The sequence below is a fragment of the Homo sapiens genome, chromosome 1, assembly GCF_000001405.40.
Source record: "Homo sapiens chromosome 1, GRCh38.p14 Primary Assembly".
In the NCBI taxonomy this organism is placed as follows: domain Eukaryota; kingdom Metazoa; phylum Chordata; class Mammalia; order Primates; family Hominidae; genus Homo; species Homo sapiens.
This window is the reverse complement of record NC_000001.11, coordinates 160,789,934-160,809,854: the sequence shown is the minus strand read 5'-3', so window position 1 is coordinate 160,809,854 and position 19,921 is coordinate 160,789,934. Positions and strand designations below refer to the sequence as shown.

Genomic DNA, 19,921 nt, shown 5'->3' with positions numbered 1-19,921 from the left:
TTCATAAGAAAAATATAAATTTAAGCCATGAAATACTATTGTAACTACTCAATTTATCAACAAAGAAATGTTTGACAATACTTTGTTATTGAGAATATAAGGAAATGGTGTCTCTCAAACATTGCTGGTGGGAGGATTACTTGATAACACGGAGGGAAATTCAGCAATATCTAGCAACATTAAAAATGTATATACTAAGCTAGGTGCAGTGGTGCCTGTAATACCAGCTTCTTTGGAGGCTGAGGTGGAAGGATTGTTTGAGGCCAGGAGTTTGGAATCAGCCTGGGCAACATAGTGAGAACCAGTCTCTACAAAATAAAATAATAATAAATAAAAATTGAGGATTTTAAAGCCAGGCATGGTGGCACATGCCTGTAGTCCCAGCTACTTGGGAGGTTGAGGGAAGGGGACAGCTTGAGTCCAGGAGTTTGCGACTAGCCTGGACAACAAAATGAGACTATGTCTCTATGAAATACTGGTAATAGTAGTAGTAATAATAATAATAATAATAATAATAATAAATTCAGGATTTAAAAGCTGGGCATGGTGGCAAGTACCTGTAGTCCCAGCTACTTGGAAGATAGAGGCAGGAGGATCACTTGAGCCCAGGAATTGGAGGCAAGCCTAGGTGATGTAGTGGGATGATGTCTCAAAAAAAAAAAGAATGCATATACCATTAGATTCAGTAATTTGACCCCATATATATATTCTAGATTTATCCATCAGAATATAACCTAGTCACATAAGCGTGAAAAGATAGGTGCACAAGAATATTCATTGCAGCATTGTTTATAAGAGGAAATATTGGAAACAATATTTCTATAAGCAGAAACAATATTTCTACAAGTAGGAGACCCGTTACATGAATTATGGCGATTATATAACATGTAAGGAATTTACGGGTGTGTCTTCTAATTTTGACATCTGTGTATATGGAATTAGGTGAAAAACGATCAATATAGTAGTCATATTTATCCTAGAGAGAGAAATTCCTGGAGAAAAAGAATGTCTGTTTTTAAAAATAAAAGATCAAGAGAAGGGGCTTCGAAATGGCTGACTAGAAGCATTTAATGCCTACCTCCTCTACTTAGAAGAACAAAAGTAGTATACAAACAGTCATATTTCAAATACATTTTCCAAGGGAGAATGCTGGAATTCAACAGAGATGTGACAGGAAACACTAAAAGCAGGGAAGGAGAAGGAACAGAGACAGCCTCCCTGGCTGAGATCTGCTGGGAGCTGGGAGTGATTTCCCAATAGAGGTGAGCGAGAGACCTCCAGTGGCCCACATCCCACTGCAGAATCATGCAGTCCTGGCCACATGAGACCCCTTTGACCCTCCCAATCCCTGAAACTACCATAGGGAGCTGCTGGGAGACTGTGGGGCGGAACTGCTCCAGGGAGGGAGCTCCTGCTGGGTTCCATACTCTTTCTGAGACCTCTGCAGTTATAGTAAGGGACCATTTTCAAACTGAGCCTTTGGCAGAATGCACGCTGTCCTGGGGCCCAACAGTGCTGGGTCTGAGGTGTTAGGAAAACTAAAACTGTTGCTGCCAAGACTAGAGTATGGATTGGGAGCACTCTGCAGGTAGAGCTAAGTAGCAAGAGAGGTGTGGGCTGCAGTTTCTGGTCCTAGGAAGTGAATGCTGCTGTGACTGAGACTGGGTAAAGTAGTGGGCTGTGAGCTGCTGCTGCAACTTGGTTGCAAGCTGGGCAAAAGCTCCTGCAGCTAGTGCTGGCTTGGGGGAAGCCCTCCTAGGACTGAGGCTGAGAGGGATGCATATTCCCCATCTGCCATCCAAGGCTGTGGCCACTGAACCTGGCCTCACCTTCTCCAGTGGCAGGGCCTCACGGTGGCGGCTACTGTCCTCACCTGAGCACTCTGCCTGGGGCCTGAGGATGGCCCTGCTTCCACATACCATAGCTGGTGTTTGCTTTCACCACTGGGGGGCCTGAGTGCAAGCCCACTCAGCCTGGCTTCCCCCTTCCCCCTTGGAAAGAGAACACATAGGCCAGCATCTTGGGGATTGCCCAACCCAATCCACTGCCTTGGGCACCTGAGCATTTTTCCACAGGGGCCTAGGGTGGGCCTAACTCCCAGCCACTACCACCTACCTGCAAGTGCCACCTGTGGTCCTGGAGACTGGTCTGCCCAGGCCATTGCAGCCACCATCAACATCAATGCACACTGCTTGGGACCCAGAGAATCATCCCACTACTGTCATTCCCCATGCCACACTGACTGCCAGGGGGCCTGAGAGCCTGCTCACCACCCTTCAGTCCACTGCTGCCATTATCGGTATCTGAGCAAGCCACCTGGAGACCTAAAAATCGACCTGCTGATAAGCATAAACACAAGTGACAGCATACACTGCCTTGAGGCACAAAGATAGGTATGCTGCCACCACTGTGGCCTGATGACTGGCCCACTTGACATTTCAATCCTCAGCGCAACTTCACCACAGCCTCTGCTAATAAACACACTCTGACCTACTGAGGAAATCACAGATACCACTAATGTTATTTACAGCCAAATAAATCATACAAATACTATACTACTGCATGCACCCAGAATCAAAGCCAGAGTGCCCTACCCCAACAACACAATAGACACATATTCAGGAAAAAGACCTCCCCATGAAAGTAACTTAAAAAAATAAGAAGAAGCTCAGTGAGATACAAGAGAATTCTGAAAAACAATACAAAGAAATCAGAAAAACAATTTTGGATATGAATGACAAATTAACCAAAGAGATAGATATTTAAAAAACAGAATGAATAGAATTCTGGAATTGAAGATTTCACTGAAGGAAATACAAAATATACTTGAAAGCTTCAACAATAAACTAGATTAGGCTGAAGAAAGAATCTCACAACTTGAAGACAGGTCTTTTGAAATAATTCAGCCAAACAAAAAATAAATAAATAAAAAGAATAAAAAAGAATGAGCTAAACCTTTGTTACATTTGGGACTTCATAAAGTGATAAAATATTCAAATTATTTCATCCCTGAGGGCAAAGAGACAAAGAGCTGATTAGAAAATGTATTTAATGAAACAATAGCAGAAAACTCCCCAAGTCTAGCAAGACTCTTAGACATCCAGATACAGGAGGCTCAGCAATTCCCAGGAAAATACAATGCAAAAAGATCTCCATGACACATCACAGTCAAACTATCTAAAGTCAAAGAGTAAATCATAAAAACAGTAAGAGAAAAACATCTAGCCACCTATAAATGAAAGCCCAGCAGGCTAATGGTGGATTCCTCAGCAGAAACTTTGCAGGCCAGAAGAAAATGGAATAATATATTCAAAGAGTCAACCAAAAATACTATATCTGGGAAAATTATTCTTCATAAAAAAGGAGAAATAGCGTTTCCCAGACAAGCAAATGCTGAGAGAATTTGTTACCACTAGATGGGGTCTTACAAGAAATGCTCAAGGGAATCCTAAACCCAGAAGCAAAAGATGACATTTACCATGATGGAAACACACAGAAGTATAAAACTCATTTGTAAAGCAATCACACAAAGGGTGAAGAGAAAGGACTTGAATGATGTCACTACAGATACCCACCAAACCACAGTGACAAACAATAAGAGAGAAAGAAACAAAGAATATATGAGACAACCAGAAAATAATTAACAGTATACAGGAAAAAGCTTCACATATCAATAGTAACTCTGAATGTAAATGGATTAAATTATCCATTTAAAAGATGTAGAATGGTGGAATGGATTTAAAAACATGATCCATCTATATGTTAATTACATGAAAATTCACCTTAACAGTAAAGATATATAGACTACAAGTAAAGAAATGGAAAAACAATTCCATGCAAATGGAAACCAAAAGCAAGCAGGAATAGCTAGCTATATTTATATCAAATAAACAAACTTTAAGTCAAAAACAGTAAAAAAAAAAAAAAAAAAAAAAGACAAAGAATGCCATTATGTAATGATGAAGGGATCAATCCAGCAAGAGGATATAACAACTCTAAATGTATATGCACCCAACACTGGAGCACCCAAATTCATAAAGCAAATATTACCAGAGAGAGAGTGAGAGTAAGAGTGTGTGTGTGTGTGTGTGTGTGTGTGTGTGTGTGTGTGTGAGACAGAGAGAGAGAGACTGCAACAGAATAGTAGTGGAGGACTTCAGCACTCCACTCTCAGCATTAGACAGAGCTTCTAGATGGAAAATCAACAAAGAAACATTGGATTTAAATTGGAGTTTGGACCAAATGGACCTAACAGATATTTACAGAACATTCTATCCAACAGTTGCAGAATATACATTCTTTTCATTAGTAGATGAAGCATTCTCCAGGATAAACTATTTGTTAGACCACAGTACAAGTCTCAACAAATTTTAAAAAATTGAAATCATATCAAATATCTTTTCAATCCCAATGGAATAAAACTAGAAATCAATATTAACAGGAACTTTGGAAATGATACAAATACATGGAAATTAAACAACATGCTCCTGACCATTGGGTCAACAAAGAAATTAAGATGGAAATTTAAAAAAAGTTCTTGAAACAAATGAAAAAAAAAACACAACATACCAAAAGCTATGGAGTACAGCAAAAGCAGTGCTGAGGGAAGTTTATAGAAATAAATGCCTACATGAAAAATGTATAAAGATCACAAATTAATAATGTAACAATGAACTTTAAGGAGCTAGAAAAGCAAGAACAAACTAAGCCCAAAATTAGTAGAAGAAAAGAAATAATAAATATCAGAGCAAAACTCGATGAAGTAGGGACTAAAAAAATGCAAAGAATCAATGAAAGAAAAAGTTAGCTCTTTGAAAAGACAGACAAAATTAATAACCTGCTAGCTAGGCTAATTAAGAAAAGAAGAAAGAAGACCCAAATAAACAAAATCAGAAAAAGTGGAGACATTACAACTGACATTACAGGAATACAAAAGACCAAAATCCAAAAGACCGTCAGAGACTATTATGAACAACTATACTCTGACAAACTGAAAAGCCTAGAGAAAATGGATAAATTCCTAGAAACATACAACCTACCAAGACTGAATCAGTAAAAAATAGAAAATCTGAACAGACACCAACGACAAGTAGTGAAATTAATCTGTAATAAAAAAGTCTCCCAACAGAGAAAAGCCCGAGACTGATGGAGTCACAGCCAAATTCTACCAAATATACAAATAATAACTAATATCAATCCTCCTAAAACTATTCTTAAAAATCAAAGTGGGGGGAATTTTCCTTAACTCATTCGATGAGGCCAGCATTATGCTAATACCAAAATCAGACAAGGACACAACAACAAAAAGAAAACTACAGGCCAATATTCCTGATGAACATAGATGCAACAATCCTCAGCAAAATACTAGCAAACAGAATCCAACAGCATATCAAAAAGATAATACATGATCAAGTGGGATTTATCCCAGGGATGCAAGGATGGTTTAACGTATGTAAATCAATAAATGTGATACATCACATCAATAGACTGAAGGATAAAAACCATATGATCATCTCAATGGTTATAGAAAGAGCACTTGATACAGTCCAAATCCCTTCCTGAAAAAATTTCTCAACAAACTAGGCATAGAAGGAATATACCTCAAAATAGTAAAGCCCATATATGACAATTCCACAATTAGCATTGTACCAAATGGGGAAAAGCTGAAAGCCTTTCTTCTGAGAACTCGAACAAGATAAGGATACCCACTTTCACTACTTTTATTCAACATAGTACTGAAAGTTCTACTCAGAGAAATTAGGCAAAATAAAGAAATAAAAAACATTCAAAGTGTAAAAGAGAAAGACAAATTGTTCCTCTTTGCTGATGATGTAATTTTTTTTTTGAGACAGGGTCTCATTTTTTCACCCAGGCTGTAGTGCAGTGGTATAGTCATGACTCACTGCAGCCTCAGCCTCCTGGGATTCAAGCAATCCTCCCACCTCAGCCTCCAGAGTAGCTGATACTACAGGCACATGCCACCATGCCCAGCTAATTTTTGTATTTTTTTGTAGAGATGGGGTTTTGCCATGTTGCTCAGGCTGGTCTTGAACTTCCGAGCTCAAGCAATCCACCTGCCTTGGTCTCCCAAAGTGCTAGGATTACAGGTGTGAGCCACCACGCTTAGCCTGAGGATATGATCTTATAACTAGAGAAACCTAAAGACTCCACCAAAAAACTCTTAGATTTGATAAATGAATTCATTAAAGTTGCAGGATAGAAATCAGTGTACAAAAATCAGTAGCATTTCTATACACCAATAATTATTTAATCAAGAAAGAAATAAAGAAGTGAATCCGGTTTATAATAGCTATTAAAAAACCCTAGGAACAAGTATAACCAAGGAGGTGAAAGATCTCTACAAGGCAAACTACAAAACACTGATGAAAAAATCATAGATGACACAAACAAATGGAGAAATATCCCATGCTCATGGACCAGAAGAATCAATATTGTTAAAATGACCATATTGCCCAAAGAATCTACAGATTCAAGGCAATCAGTATCAAAATACCAACCTTATTCTTCTCAGATTAGAAAAACAATACTTTTTAAAAAAAAAAATTTTTTTTTAGACACGGTTTTCACTTTGTCACCCAGGCTGGCATTCAGTGGCGTGATCTTGGCTCACTGCAACCTCTGCCTCCCAGATTAAAGTGATTCTCCCGCCTCAGACTTCCGAGTAGCTGGGATTACAGGTGCCCATCACCACCCCTGTCTAATTTTTGTATTTTTAGTATAGACGGGGTTTCACCATGTTAGCCAGTCTGGTCTCGAACTCCTGACCTCAAGAGATCTGCCTGCCTCAGCCTCCCAAAGTGTTGGGATTACGGGCATGAATCACTGTGCCTGGCCAGAAAAAAAAATCCTAAAATATATACGGAAGCACAAAAGACCATGAATAGTCATAGCAATGCTAAGCAAAAAGAACAAAGCTAGAGGCATCACATTACTCGACTTCAGTATACTGTATATGGCTATAGCAACCAAAACAGCATGGTGTTATAAAAATAGACACATAGACCAATGGAACAGAATAGAGAACACAGAAATAAAGCCACAGGTTTATAGCCAATTGACCTTTGACAAATCCAACAAAAACTTACACTGGGGAGAAAAGATACTTTTTATTTATTTATTTATTTATTTATTTTTATTTTTTTAGAGACCATGTGCAGTTTAATTGTGGGGAGGCTGAGGAAAGCAGCATTTTCACCAAATTGGTGTAAAAATAAAATGGGGTCCACACGTGTACACTGGCAGCTACAGTAAATTTAAAAATCTGAGCAGCAATTTGAACCATTTCTTGGAAAAACAAACACTGACAAACACTGAGTTGGTGCCTGGCGCGGCCCGCAGGGTTGGAGGCCAGCTCCGCATCATGGGTGCAGCCCCGCACTGTGGGCCTGCATCCCGGGGATCCCAGCTCCTCGGGGAGTGGCCGGTGACCTCCCACGCAGTGGGCTGAGCCAGGCCTGGCTGAGAGGGGGCCGCAGCCAGCAGGCCCGGATGGCCTCCCGCGCCTGCAGGGGACATCCAGGAAATGGGTGCAGTGTGCGGGACCCGCATGCTGCCCGAGGAGTCTTTGCAGGGTGGACAGGCTTGGGAGTCTCTACCAGCAATGCAATAAATAAGCAAATCCAAGCGGAGAAAGACCAAGCACAAACCCCACTGGCACACAAGGCCCAGCCCGGTTCCTGCGGGCGTCAGCGGCTCTTCACAGACCAGGAGTCTCCAAGTTGGCGGCTCCGGTGTTCCCGACGTGCCATGGGAGGCGGCGGGTGGGTGGGACACGCCTAACGCCCACGTCTAGCAGCCTCGGGGGGCAGTGGCACTGGGCCTGGCAGGGTCCCATCGGCAGGACCCTTCCAGCTCTGCTGCGCGGCGGTGAGGTGGGGATGGCGGAGCGGTCTCCAGTGGCAGGTGGGGGCGAGGGCCTAGCCCTCCCGCACGCTCACACGTGGCTCAGCCAGGGTGCTGATGATGGACTCCAGGCCGCTGCCCTCCAGGAGTGTGCGGTGGTCACCCTCGATGACGTGGACGGACAACTTTTCAATAAATGGTGCTGGGAAAATTGAATAGTCACATGCAGAAGAATGAAGTTGAACCCCTATTTCTCATCATATAAAAAACCTCCTCAAAATCAGTTAAAAGACTTGAATGTAAGACCTGAAACTATAAAAATACTAGAAGAAAACCTAGGGAAAACTCTCCTGGACATTGGTCTGGACAAATAAATTTATGACTAAGACCTCAAAAGCACAGGTAACAAAAACAAAAATAGACAAACGGGATTTAAACTAACAAGCTTTTGCACAGCAAAAGAAATAATCAACAGAGTGAAGAGACAACGAGTTGAATGGCAGATATATTTGTAAACTATTCATCTGACAGGGAAGTAATATCCAGAACATACAAGGAACTCAAATAACTCAACAAGAAAAAACGAATAATTCTATTAAAAAGTGGGCAAAGGATACAGACATTTCTCAAAAGAAGACATACACATGACCAACAGATATATTAAAAATGCTCAATATCACCAATTATCTGAGAAATACAAATCAAAATCACAATGAGATATTATCTCACTCCAGTCAGAATGGCTGTTATTTAAACACTAACCACATGTTGGCAGGATGTGGAGAAAAGGGGAAATCTTAGACACTCTTGGTGGGGATGGAAACCAGTACAGCCACTATGCAAAACAATATGAAGATTTCTCAAAAAACTAAACATTTAATTAGCATTTGATCCAGTAATACCACTACTGGATATCTACCCAAAGGAAAAGAAAAGAAATTGATATATGCAAGGAATACCTGCATTTGTATGTTTATTGCAGCACTATTCTCAATAGCAAAGATATAGAATTAATCTGTGTCCCTTAGCGGAAGAATGGATAAAGAAAATGCAGTATACACATACATACATGTATTTATACACATCATGGAATACTAATCAGCCACAAAAGAATGAAGTCATGTCTTTTGCAGCACCATGGATGAAACTGGAGGCCATTATCCTAGCTGAAATAACTCAGAAACAGAAAGTAAAATACCACACGTTCTCACCTATAAGTGGAAGCAATGGGTACACATGGACATACAGAGTAGGAATAATGGATAGCGGAGCCTACAAGAGGTAGGAGGGTGGGAGAGGAGTGAGGGCTGAAAAATTATCTATTGAGTACAATGGTCACTCTTTGGGTGATGGGTGCACTAAAAGCCCAGACTTCCCCAGCATGCAATATGTGCATGCAATAAATCTACACTTGTACCCCCTAAATATATTTAAACAATTTAAAAATCCATAAAAAAGAATGAAATCATGTCTTTTGCAGCAATGTGGCTGAAACTGGAGGTCATTATCTTAAGTTAAATAAGCTAGGCACAAAAAGACACATATCGCATGTTCTCACTTATATGTTGGTACTAAAAATTTTGATCATGTGGAAGTGGATGGTGGAAAGATAGATAGCAGAGACTGAGAAGGGTGAGTGTGGGGAGTGGGTGGTGGGGGGATGATGAAGAGAAGTGGGTTAAAGGGTACAAACATACAGTAAGATAGAGAAAATCAATTCAATTTTTGATAGCAGAGTAGGGTGACTATACTTAACAGGAATATATTGTACTCAGGCAGCAGACACACTGAAAACTCTGACTTGATCAGTATGCACTATATACATATAACAAAATTTCACACATACCCCATAAATTTGCACAAATAAAAAAAAGAAAAGATCAAAACACAGAAGCTCTCTGGAACTCACCATAGACGAACAGGGTGAATTCCTCCTCAGTGGTGACTTCAAAATTCCTTTGGTTTATCTGGGCTTTGTAGGATCCTGCATCATTCAGAGTCAGATTGCTGATGCACAGGGAGTAACTCCACTTGGTGATGTCTAGTCGGCCCAGGTAGCTTTTGACCATAATGGTTACATTTTCTTTGGGACGTGCGAAAGCAAGAGCATTTTTGGGACCAATCCAGATGACGTTCTCAATCTCTGTGTCTACTGAGATGTTTAGGGGGAGAGTCACGGAACCCCCTAGGATCCCTGACACCACTGTTGGGGCTGAGTCCTTTCCAGAGGCTCTTAGTCCTGCAGAGATAGAAGAGGGACTTGGAGGAGCAGCTAGACTCCTTGAGCTAGCCTTCTTTCTTTCACTCTGTGAATATACATTGGGCATAAATGTCAGATGCTGAGAAATGAAATGAGATTCTTGTCCTCCTTCTTCTAGGTCAATTGCCTAGCACAGTCATTAATTCCTCCATTCCCCAAACACTGTCTCCCTTAAAAGCAGCCACAACAATCTGTGAAACAGATCTTCTGGGTTTCTGTTCCAGTAGAGGAATTAGCCTTGTGACTTTGGGTACATTTCTGAATTTTTCAGTGAATCTTATCTAAAAGATTGAAATGCTCATACCTGCACCATTTTCTTCAAGGGATATGGTAAAAATGAAATGAAAGCAGGTTGCTGCAAATTGTGAAGAGCCAATGAAGTAAAAAGGAGCATATTTTTAAAAATATGGGTGGGTAGAGGGATGGTTAGATGGGCAGGCGAGTGATAAAGCAAGCAAAGTAAAACGTTTGTGTTAGAATCTAGGTAGTAGGCCTATGAATGTTCAGGGTAAATGCTCCAACTTTTCTGAATGTTTGAGAACTCTCATAGCAGTGTCGGGAACTAAAGGAGCTTCTCCTACCTCTACCTCACCCTTATTGTCCATGGCATCTCAGATTGACTTTGGTTTGGCCAGGTTTGGGGGTGGGAATAGCTGGTGGTACTAATACAGTTCCTGATTTCCTCATCTTAGGCAAGATCATATTCCTGATAAACATTGTTACCAAGGCATCTAGGAAGCTGGTATTTGGCCAAGGCAGTTAATTTTCTTGTAGGGACCCTGTGGGTGTCTTCTGGGTGACCCTAGCTTGGATTCCCAGATTCCAGGGCTTCCGAGGCTCTGGAGAGCACTTTTGAAATTCTAGACCAAAACAGATGGGTTTGGGACCCAGACTCCACCAGGAATTCTGGGTGGGAAAATAAGTAGAAAATGTTAGAGACAAAAAAGGAGCATAAGCATAGCCTGGAGGGGCGGAAGAAAGCTGAAGCAAGCTCTGAAAACCCAGAGGATACAGAATATGCAGACACTGGAAGGAGAGAGGCTGCTTGGTGCAGGTCATGGGGGTTCTCTGCTTAGACCTCCATCAGCCAAGCACTTGCACCTTGTGGAGAGGCAGCTATGGAGCATGCAGGGCTAGGGATCCTGGACATGAGAAGGTTGGGTCAGGTGGATTCTTTAGGCAGATTCAGGCTGAGTTGATGTGAGGTTGGTTTGAGGTTTTCTAAAAGAGAGCTCTTCCCATCTGGAAGAGACTGCTTACGATTGCTATGTGTGCATTAGGTACTTTATGTAAATTATCTCATTTAATTCTCATAACTATACTATAATTAGCCCCTTTTTACAGATGAGGAGCTGAAATTTAGAGAATTTAATCCACTTCCCTGAGATTACAGGGTTGATCAGTCACAGAGTCCAGATCCTATGTCCATGATGCCCCTGGAGTAGGGAGGCCAGGAGTACTGCCCATCTGTATCCTGGAAGCCCAGGAGCTGCTGGGTCTTGACTGGGTGCATATGACTCGTTTTGACTTCAAATTTTCTTACATCAGACAAAAACCATAAACAAAAGCCTCACAGACTCTCAGTGGAGGGGGCAGGATGTGGGCCTCACAGGGCAAATCTTGTTGCAGAAGACAGTGCAATGCAGCTCCCAGTACAATGACAGGTCCCCAGTACCAGTCATTTTATTTTGAATTGCACCGTAGGACAAATAATAAAAGAGCATTCAAAGATTGCAAAACTGAATTTGACTCACCTGTCTCTTAATAGTTTCCAAAGAATGCACGTAACAGTAATTATAATAATAACAATCATAGCTTCTGCCAACTATGTGCCACTATACGTGTGTGTGTGTGTGTGTGTGTGTGTGTATAGATCATCTACAATCTGTAAGAGTGTTGCATGATGCATCCTACTAACTATATTTTACACTTAAGAAATAGAGGCCCTCATCACTAATAAATGATGGAGCAATGATTTAATTTCAGATGTTCCTGATACTAAAGTGAGAGGGGTCTTTTCACTCGACTGCCTTTTAAGTTCCTGAAATGACTCTTTGGAGATACAAAAGCATCATCCTTTCAGACCAAAAGAGTGAGATTTGAGGTCATCCTAATCAGTGGAGCCAGACCAATGGAGATGCCTCTTTGCTCTGAACTGTTTGAAATTCACTGCATTGATCATTTGCGGCTTGGATGACCTTGAATGTAGCTTATTTCAGGTTTGCTCAACACAATCAAGGAACACCCCAAAGGTTGGAGGTAAACATAAACAGCCTTGCTGCTTTCTGTGTGTTTTGATGAGCCAAGATAAAATTGAAAGTGAAAAGAGGTCAGACTGGACCTCAGCTCTGAGGTCTAGGCTCCTCGTTCACCCATATCTGCATCTAGGAGTGTTTCTAAAGCTCCCTTCAGGCACCAACTGCCAACCCCCACTGCTCTCAGATCTCTAGTGCTACCTGCACCATCATCCCTGAAGCCCTGGAGAAAGCGGGAGCACAGAAGGACAGTAGCTGCCACAGTCCCAGGTGGCTGAGATCCTCTCTGGGGTACTGGATTGGCTCTATCTGCTGGACAGTGGGGTTCCGGGCCATGCAGCGGAGAGATGTTTCCCAGGAGTTGGGCCTTGATAGGGAGGAATAAGGTTGAGGAGAAAAGGATATCCAGATAAACGCCACCTTGCCCATGGTCACCTAACCGCGTCCAGGTCCCCAGTGAAACCTCAGTAATAAAGCCAGCATATATGATAACCAAGGCAGGATACATAGAAAGAAGCTCCAGAAGTTCTCTCCATCCCTAGGAAATTGCTAGGTGGCTTCTCATCAGGGGATTTTCCTGGATCCCTCTGTGGGTTTTATCCACACCATACAGGGAACAAACTCATTATATACTTGGCATTTCTTAGGAAAATGTGAGGGCAAGAGAAATGTAGTTTGAGCCCAGAGCTATTTGAGACCGGGGCTAGAATGTTACCCCCTTCATAGTGCACGAATATGCACACATGCAAAGTAATTTCTGGCAAGGAGATGAGTTTCCCGATTTTACCAACAAGAACTGGGCTCACGCCTGTAATCCCAGCACTTCAGGTGGCTGAGCTGGGCAGATCACGAGGTCAAGAGATCGAGACCACCGTGGCCAACATAGTGAAACCCTGCCCCTACTAAAAATACAAAGATTAGCTGGGTGTGTTGGCATGCACCTGTAATCCCAGCTACTCAAGAGGCTGAGGTAGGAGAATCGCTTGAACCCAGGAGGTGGAGGTTGCAGTGAGCCGAGATTGCGCCACTTCACTCCAGCCTGGCAACAGAGTGAGACTCCGTTAAAAAAAACAAAAAACAAAAAAAAGAATCTCCCAGGCAGGGAATGCAACTGGCCTCAGAAGAACCGCAGTAGCAAGAAGTGGTGGCCATAAAGTGGACTTACCCATGAGCAGGAAGAGGAGAGAGGTCTGTAGAACAGAAGAGAATATTTGCAGCTGACTCCTCTGTGGCTTACTGGAGAAAGGCCCAGGAGCCCAGTCATCTGTGTGACTCTTTGGTGCCACCATGATGATCTATTTTCAGAACTGAGACTGAAGGAGGATGCACTTACCACAGCTTCCGCACGTGTCACAGCTTCTGCATGTGTATATGAGTGTGTGTGTGCATGTGTATGTGTATGTGTGTGTGTCTCAGAGGGAGGGTTGTTTATACAAAACACCACAGACTCCTCCCATCTGCGCAGGCAGGTAGAGGTCCCAAGTCTATTCAGGGCCTCATTTGTGACTGATGTGGAGCATCACTTGCTTTGACATCAAGGGACTTGGGTTCTAAATTTGGCTCCTAAAGGTGACTGCTAAAGATCTGTACCTCCTGGCATTCATGCCTCTGTGTAATCACCTCTTCTTTAGTGTGGCCTGGATTTAGTGACTTGCTTCAAGTGAATAGAATGTGGCAGAGATGTGGGATGGGTCACTTCTGAGATTAGGTTACAAAAAAGCTGTGACTTCCATCTTGGGTTAGCATGTGTGTGCATATGCGCTCTCTCTTTCTCTTGCCCTCTCTCCCTCTCTGTCTTTCCCACTATCTCTGTCTCCCTACCTTACACTGAGGGGAGCCAGGTATTGTTTTGTGAGATACTTTAGGGAGAGGGTTCCAAAACAAAGAACAGAGGGAGGCCCCCAGCCAACAATCGGCGAGGAGCTGATTCCTCTGGCCAACTGTCCATGAGGACTGAGGCTAGCCAAGAATCACATGAGTGAGACTGGAAGTGGATCCTCCCCAGGAGGTCCTTGAAATGACTGCAGCCCTGGCTGACACCGTGATGTTAGTTGTGTGAGTACCTTAAGCCAGAGGCACCCAGCTAAGCCATGCCCAGATTCCTTATCAAGAGAAACTGTGAGATAATAAATGTTTGGTTTTTAAATTTTTTTTCAATTTTTTATTTTTCATCAAAAATGCTTATTGTTTTTAGCTGTGAAGTTTGGGGCAATTTGTTACACAGCAACAGATAACTAATACAGTGACCCAATACATTTTCTATTTTGCTCAAGGCAGTTTGTGCTAGCTTTCTGTCACATGCAATGAAGGACTTTTAATATGGACAAAGGCATCAGGGAGACTGCAATGGGGGTGGACATCGTATGTGACAGCGTAGAGGTGACTGAGTTGAAAAGGTAGGCTGGAGAATGGCATGATTCCCTATATCCTGACTTGGGAAACTGTCTTTTTCTCCTCCTTCTTCTTGTCAGTAGCGTAATAGCTGGCCATGCTATGGTTTGTGTTTCGGGCTTCAGGTCATTTGTTTACTTAGGCTGTAACATTAAGGGGACTTGGCAGGAAAACTTGAGGCTGGCAGAATGTGTAGTTTTAGCTAATATTCGATGAAAGCTTACAGAGTGCTAGTCCATCTTCTGACACTTTAACATATTCACTCATTTGATCTTACAATAGTTTTATGAGATATCTTTTATCATCCCCATTCTATAAATGAGAAAACTGAGGTGGAGAGGGGTTAAATAGCTTACTATAAGTTTTATAGTTAGTAAGGACTTGAACCCAGGAAGTCTGGGTTCAAAGGAAGAAGGGAGAGAGAGAGAGAAACCATTAAGATAACAGGCTTATGTCCATGGAAAGCATCTTTAGAGGCTGGTCATGATCTGATGTTGCACAATATTGAAAGTGACAGAATCTCGAAAATCTTTAAATTTTGTGCACTAGGAGCGTGTCTTGTTTCACTCTAGCCTTGGTCCTGTGACTAGAACATGGGCTGTCTAGAGGGGATTGCAGGACATACGGTCAGGAGAGGTTACCAGAGCCCAGATAAAGCATCCTGTTACCAAGCTAAAGGCAACAAGAATCCAGTAGGAGTAGGAAGCTTCCTGGAGCTGCAGAGTGGAGGGAGAATGGGTGGAAGGGATGAGCCTGGGGATGAGAAGACAGGTGCGGAAGCTATTGAAGGAGTCTGGGTACAGAACATGAGAGCAGGAACAGTCTGCATGGGAGGCGAGGGCAAAGGCAGAAGGGAATTCAGAGAGATTGGTAATAATAAAAATCATTACTAACATTTATTGGGTAATTACTATGAGTGAGCCTCTGTGTTTAGAACTTTACATATGTTTTCTCCTTTAATCCTAAGATAGACCCTATTTGGATGATACTCCAATTATCCCCATTTTAGAGATGAGAAAACTGAGATTTAGGAAAGTAACATCACTGAAATGACCTCCTTTGAAGTTGTGACCATAGGAGGACACAGCCTTATAATACACAAAATCCAATTTAAGTATTATCATTTAAGTATAGTAAAACCTAAATTAATATAAATTTTGGTATGATGCATTTGTTAAGTGTGCCCTGTCCTCACATGGGGAGGGCTAATATTCTCATCAGGACAGGGAGGCAAAGGCACTAGCATTGGGAATCAGGGAGCAACATCCAGTGATGCTGGCCCCGGCGTCTCCAGTGTTGTCCTTCTCAGTATACTTCAACCACCCCAGCAAGTGGGTGTGACTGACTGGAAAATTTTTGAAATCCCTGCTACTGTCCTTGGAGTCCCGCCAGCTACAGGCCCAGAATCACCCCTGTCAACTGGGCATTGCCTCCAGGTAGCATCAGACTCCAGCCTGGGTTGAGATTTGGGTCTGGCAGCCACAACCACATACTCAGCTGTGTTGCTTCACCACCAGCCCCCAACCAACACTTCATTCACTGTGCAATTAAGACGACCCTGCATTTTACACAATTGCATTTTTTGGACTTTATTTCTAATGTTGTCTTGACTTGCAGTATATATATGCTACTACAGATTGGAAGAATATGAAAGACTGTAGAATTTTGACAAGCTCAAAGCTTTTTACACTTAGATGGAAAGACAAATATATGTTAGGAGCTAAAGAAATTCAACATCAAATCAACTGCTGCAGCCACAGTAGAGGGAAGAATTAGGGAATGTCACAGTGTTCAAGTGGAATCTAGGGATATAGGCTATGAGACCAGCCTTTTAGAGGGTAGCAACAAAACAAGCAAAAAGTGGTGCTGCCAGCTGGGCACATTGGCTCACGCCTGTAATCTCAGCACTTTGGGAGGCCGAGGTGGGCAGATCACGTGAGGTCAGGAGCTCAGGACCAGCCTGACCAATATGGAGAAACCCTGTCTCTATTAAAAATACAAAATTATTGGGAGGCGGAGGCGGGCGGATCACGATGTCAGGAGATCGAGACCATCCTGGCTAACATGGTGAAACCCCGTCTCTACTAAAAAAAAAAAACAAAAAACAAAAAAACAAAATTAGCCGGGTGTGGTGGCACGCGCCTGTAATCCCAGCTACTGGGGAGGCTGAGGAAGGAGAATCGCTTGAACCTGGGAGGCGGAGGTTGCGGTGAGCCGAGATTGTGCCATTGCACTGCAGCCTGGGCAACAAGAGCGAAACTCCACCTCAAAAAAAAAGGGGTGCTGGTAATACCATTAGTTAACATGTCAGTGATATTTCTGGTCATTAAGCAACTTTAGCTAATTGAGAAGGTACCCCAGGAAATGGCTGTAAATGGGATGACATAATTGTTTCTTTTGTGGTTATGAATCTTTCAATCCTGGGAAAATAAGGAATACAAAATAGACATGTTCAAGGTAATCAGTTAGTATTTTTTAAGTATATGTATTGTTTGAGGAAATTTAGTTCATTAAAATTGTAGTAAACTTTGTTGCCACGGTTTGAATGTATTTGTCCCTCCAAAATTCATATGTTGGAAACTTTTTTTTTTTTAATGAGATGGAGTCTCACTCTATCACCCAGGTTGGAGTGTAGTGGTGCAATCTCAGCTCACTGCAACCTTTGCCTCTTGGGTTCAAGTGATTCTCCTGCCTCAGACTCCCGAGTAGCTGGGACTACAGGCACGTGCCACCACACCTGACTAATTTTGTATTTTTAGTAGAGACAGGGTTTCACTATGTTGGCCAGGCTGGTCTCGAACTCCCAACCACAGGTAATCCACCTGCCTCGGCCTCCCAAAGTGCTGGGATTACAGGTGTGAGCCACTGTGCCTGTCCTATATGTTGGAACTTAAACCCCAAAGCGATAGTATTGAGAGGTGGGGCCTTTTGGGAAATGATTAAGTCATGAGCACTCTGCTTTCATATATGGGATTAATGCCCTTATAAAAGAGACTTCAAAGAGTTATCTGGCCCTTTCTTGCCCTTCCACTATTCTGCCATGTGAAGACAGTGTTCATCTCCTCTGGAGGATGCAGCAACAAGGCCCCACCTTGGAAGCACAGAGTGAGCCCTAACCAGACCGAGAGTCTGCTGGCACCTTGATCTTGGACTTCCCAGCTTGCAGAACCATAAGAAATAAATTTCCACTACTTATAAATTGCCCAGTTTAAGATATTTTTGTTATAGCAGCCAGAATGAACTGAGATATTTGTGTTTCTGATTTAAACTATGCAATTGATTTACATTTGTGCATTTGTGATTTTAGTTGGAAATCTTAATTTACATGAAGAATTGAATAATTTAAGACAACTTAAGAATGACCACACTTAGAAGTTTAATGTATTAGGTTTACAAGCCTTTAAGTATTTGGGAAGTTTATTTGCTGATTAAAATACTTTAAAACAAAACTAAATATATTACATTTATAAGTTAGAATAATAAGGGAATCAACTTATAAATTTGTAAAATGAGTCAAATTATTATTATTATTATTATTTTACTTTTGAGACAGGATGTTGCTCTGTGACCAAGGCTGAAGTGCAGTGGTACGATCTCGGCTCACTACAACCTTTACTTCCCTGCTCAAGCGATCCTCCAGCCTCAGCCTCCTGAGTAGCTGGGACCACAGTCATGAGCCACCATGCCCGGCTCATTTTTGTATTTCTTGTAGAGATGGGGTTTCGCCATGTTGCTCAGGCTGGTCTCGAACTCCTGAGCTCGAAGTGATCCACTTGCCTCGGCCTCCCAAAGTGCTAGGATTCCAGGTGTGAGCCACCATGCCTGGCCATGAGTTAAATCTTATTAATAGTCCTCAAGAAGGGTAGTTAAAATTTGCCTAATTTGTAAGCAGAACAGTAAGATTTGTAAGCTGAACTGAACTTAAGGCTGACTTAGGTTTTAAATTTATTTATTTAATAAATTGAATATGAGTTCTTAAAAGCAATATGGCCTATGAATAAATTTTTATGTGCAAAAACCATCTTCAAGGAAATAAATTATAAAGGAGAACTCCTAACTCTCATTGATTGGCAGGTAGTTTGCCTAGGTCACACAACTAGCAAGCAGCAGAGGCAGTATTCAAACCAGAAAGCCTCATGCCCAACACACTGTACCCAACCAGAAAGTAAAACCACCTGCATTACTTTATTTTTTATTGACATAAATTTTCTTTCCCACTAGACTGTAAGCAACACGGTTGCAGACACTTCCTTTCATCTCTGTATCCCCAGTCCTTAGCACAGAGCTTTTGTGGCACCTAGCAGGAACTCAACGAATATGCATTGAGTGAAGGAGAGAAGAGAACCCGGGGGGAACGGTATCCTGGCGTCCAGGAGGAGAGAGTATTTCAAGTGTCAAATGCCACAGGCAGTTGTATTAGCCAGGGATCTTCAGAGAAACCACACCTTGAATATATATATTGTTTCCTTTTTTCTCTTTTAATAGGAATTGGCTCACATGATCATGGAGGCTGAGAAGTCTCATGATCTGGTGACTGCAAGCTGGAGTACCAGGGAAGCTGGTGGTGTAGGTCCCGGTCTGAGTCAGAAGGCCTGAGAACTGGGAGGCTGGTAGTACAAGTGTCCTGACCCATAACCACAGGCCTGATGTCCAACAGCAAGAGGGAATGGATGTCCTAGCACCATCCTAGCCTGGGGCTTCAGGGAGGCCTTTCCCAAGGTGGTGATGACTGGAGATGGGCAATAGGAGGGTGTTAGGGTGAGGTAGATGACAGAGACTAGGGCAATCCAATCAGTAAGATGGCCTGAGGAAGTAGAGCTGCATTTACAAAAATGAGAAATCCCAAGGGGACTGCTTTAGAAGCAGTCTGTGGTGACTGGAGTCCAAGCTGTGAGACTTGGTGACAGAGTGTGGCCAGGTAGGTTGGCAAGACACAAGCCAATCATGAAGGGCCTTGTCCACAAGGACTTTGACCCCGGACTTTAGCCTTGTGGGGGTGGTACACCCCCGAGGGGTTTAAAGCAAGGCTGTGATGTCACCGGCGTTGGCTTTTAAGTAGCTCGTTCAGGCGCTTCTCATCCTTCTTTCTTTTGCGTCCGCTCATCTTCATATCTTGTGACACATAAACTACATGTGATTAAAGTGGTGACAC

The 19,921-nt window shown here is 42.4% G+C and overlaps 1 protein-coding gene across 17 annotated transcripts in view, besides 4 other annotated features; it reads right to left on the bottom strand.

The window, feature by feature from the left end:
• The window catches only part of LY9 (lymphocyte antigen 9), a 32,082-nt gene extending 18,401 nt beyond the window's left edge, over window positions 1-13,681 (bottom strand). For 9 of the 17 annotated variants that reach the window (XM_017001301.2, XM_047420753.1, NM_002348.4 and 6 more), the window contains exons 1-2: window positions 13,544-13,681; window positions 9,773-10,102 (exon numbers count right to left, since the gene is read on the bottom strand). In XM_017001301.2, coding sequence (XP_016856790.1) covers window positions 9,773-10,102; window positions 13,544-13,667 — 454 coding nt within the window. In that variant the 5' untranslated portion in view covers window positions 13,668-13,681. Of the gene's footprint in view, window positions 1-7,108; window positions 8,066-9,772; window positions 10,170-12,579; window positions 12,746-13,543 lie in introns of those variants that run through there. The other 8 variants (XM_011509549.2, XM_017001299.2, XM_011509556.2 and 5 more) reach the window with 4 other exon arrangements.
• Window positions 7,835-8,084: a silencer, noted in NCBI's record as "fragment chr1:160771561-160771810 (GRCh37/hg19 assembly coordinates)". NCBI's record gives its function as "represses an EF-1alpha promoter that drives an FKBP-Casp9 reporter gene in an ReSE screen in HepG2 liver carcinoma cells {active_cell/tissue: HepG2}" and the evidence as "EXISTENCE:reporter gene assay evidence [ECO:0000049][PMID:32094911]".
• Window positions 19,514-19,633: an enhancer, noted in NCBI's record as "active region_1961". NCBI's record gives its function as "activates an Ori minimal core promoter by ATAC-STARR-seq in GM12878 lymphoblastoid cells {active_cell/tissue: GM12878}" and the evidence as "EXISTENCE:reporter gene assay evidence [ECO:0000049][PMID:35858748]".
• Window positions 19,664-19,733: an enhancer, noted in NCBI's record as "active region_1960". NCBI's record gives its function as "activates an Ori minimal core promoter by ATAC-STARR-seq in GM12878 lymphoblastoid cells {active_cell/tissue: GM12878}" and the evidence as "EXISTENCE:reporter gene assay evidence [ECO:0000049][PMID:35858748]".
• Window positions 19,784-19,903: an enhancer, noted in NCBI's record as "active region_1959". NCBI's record gives its function as "activates an Ori minimal core promoter by ATAC-STARR-seq in GM12878 lymphoblastoid cells {active_cell/tissue: GM12878}" and the evidence as "EXISTENCE:reporter gene assay evidence [ECO:0000049][PMID:35858748]".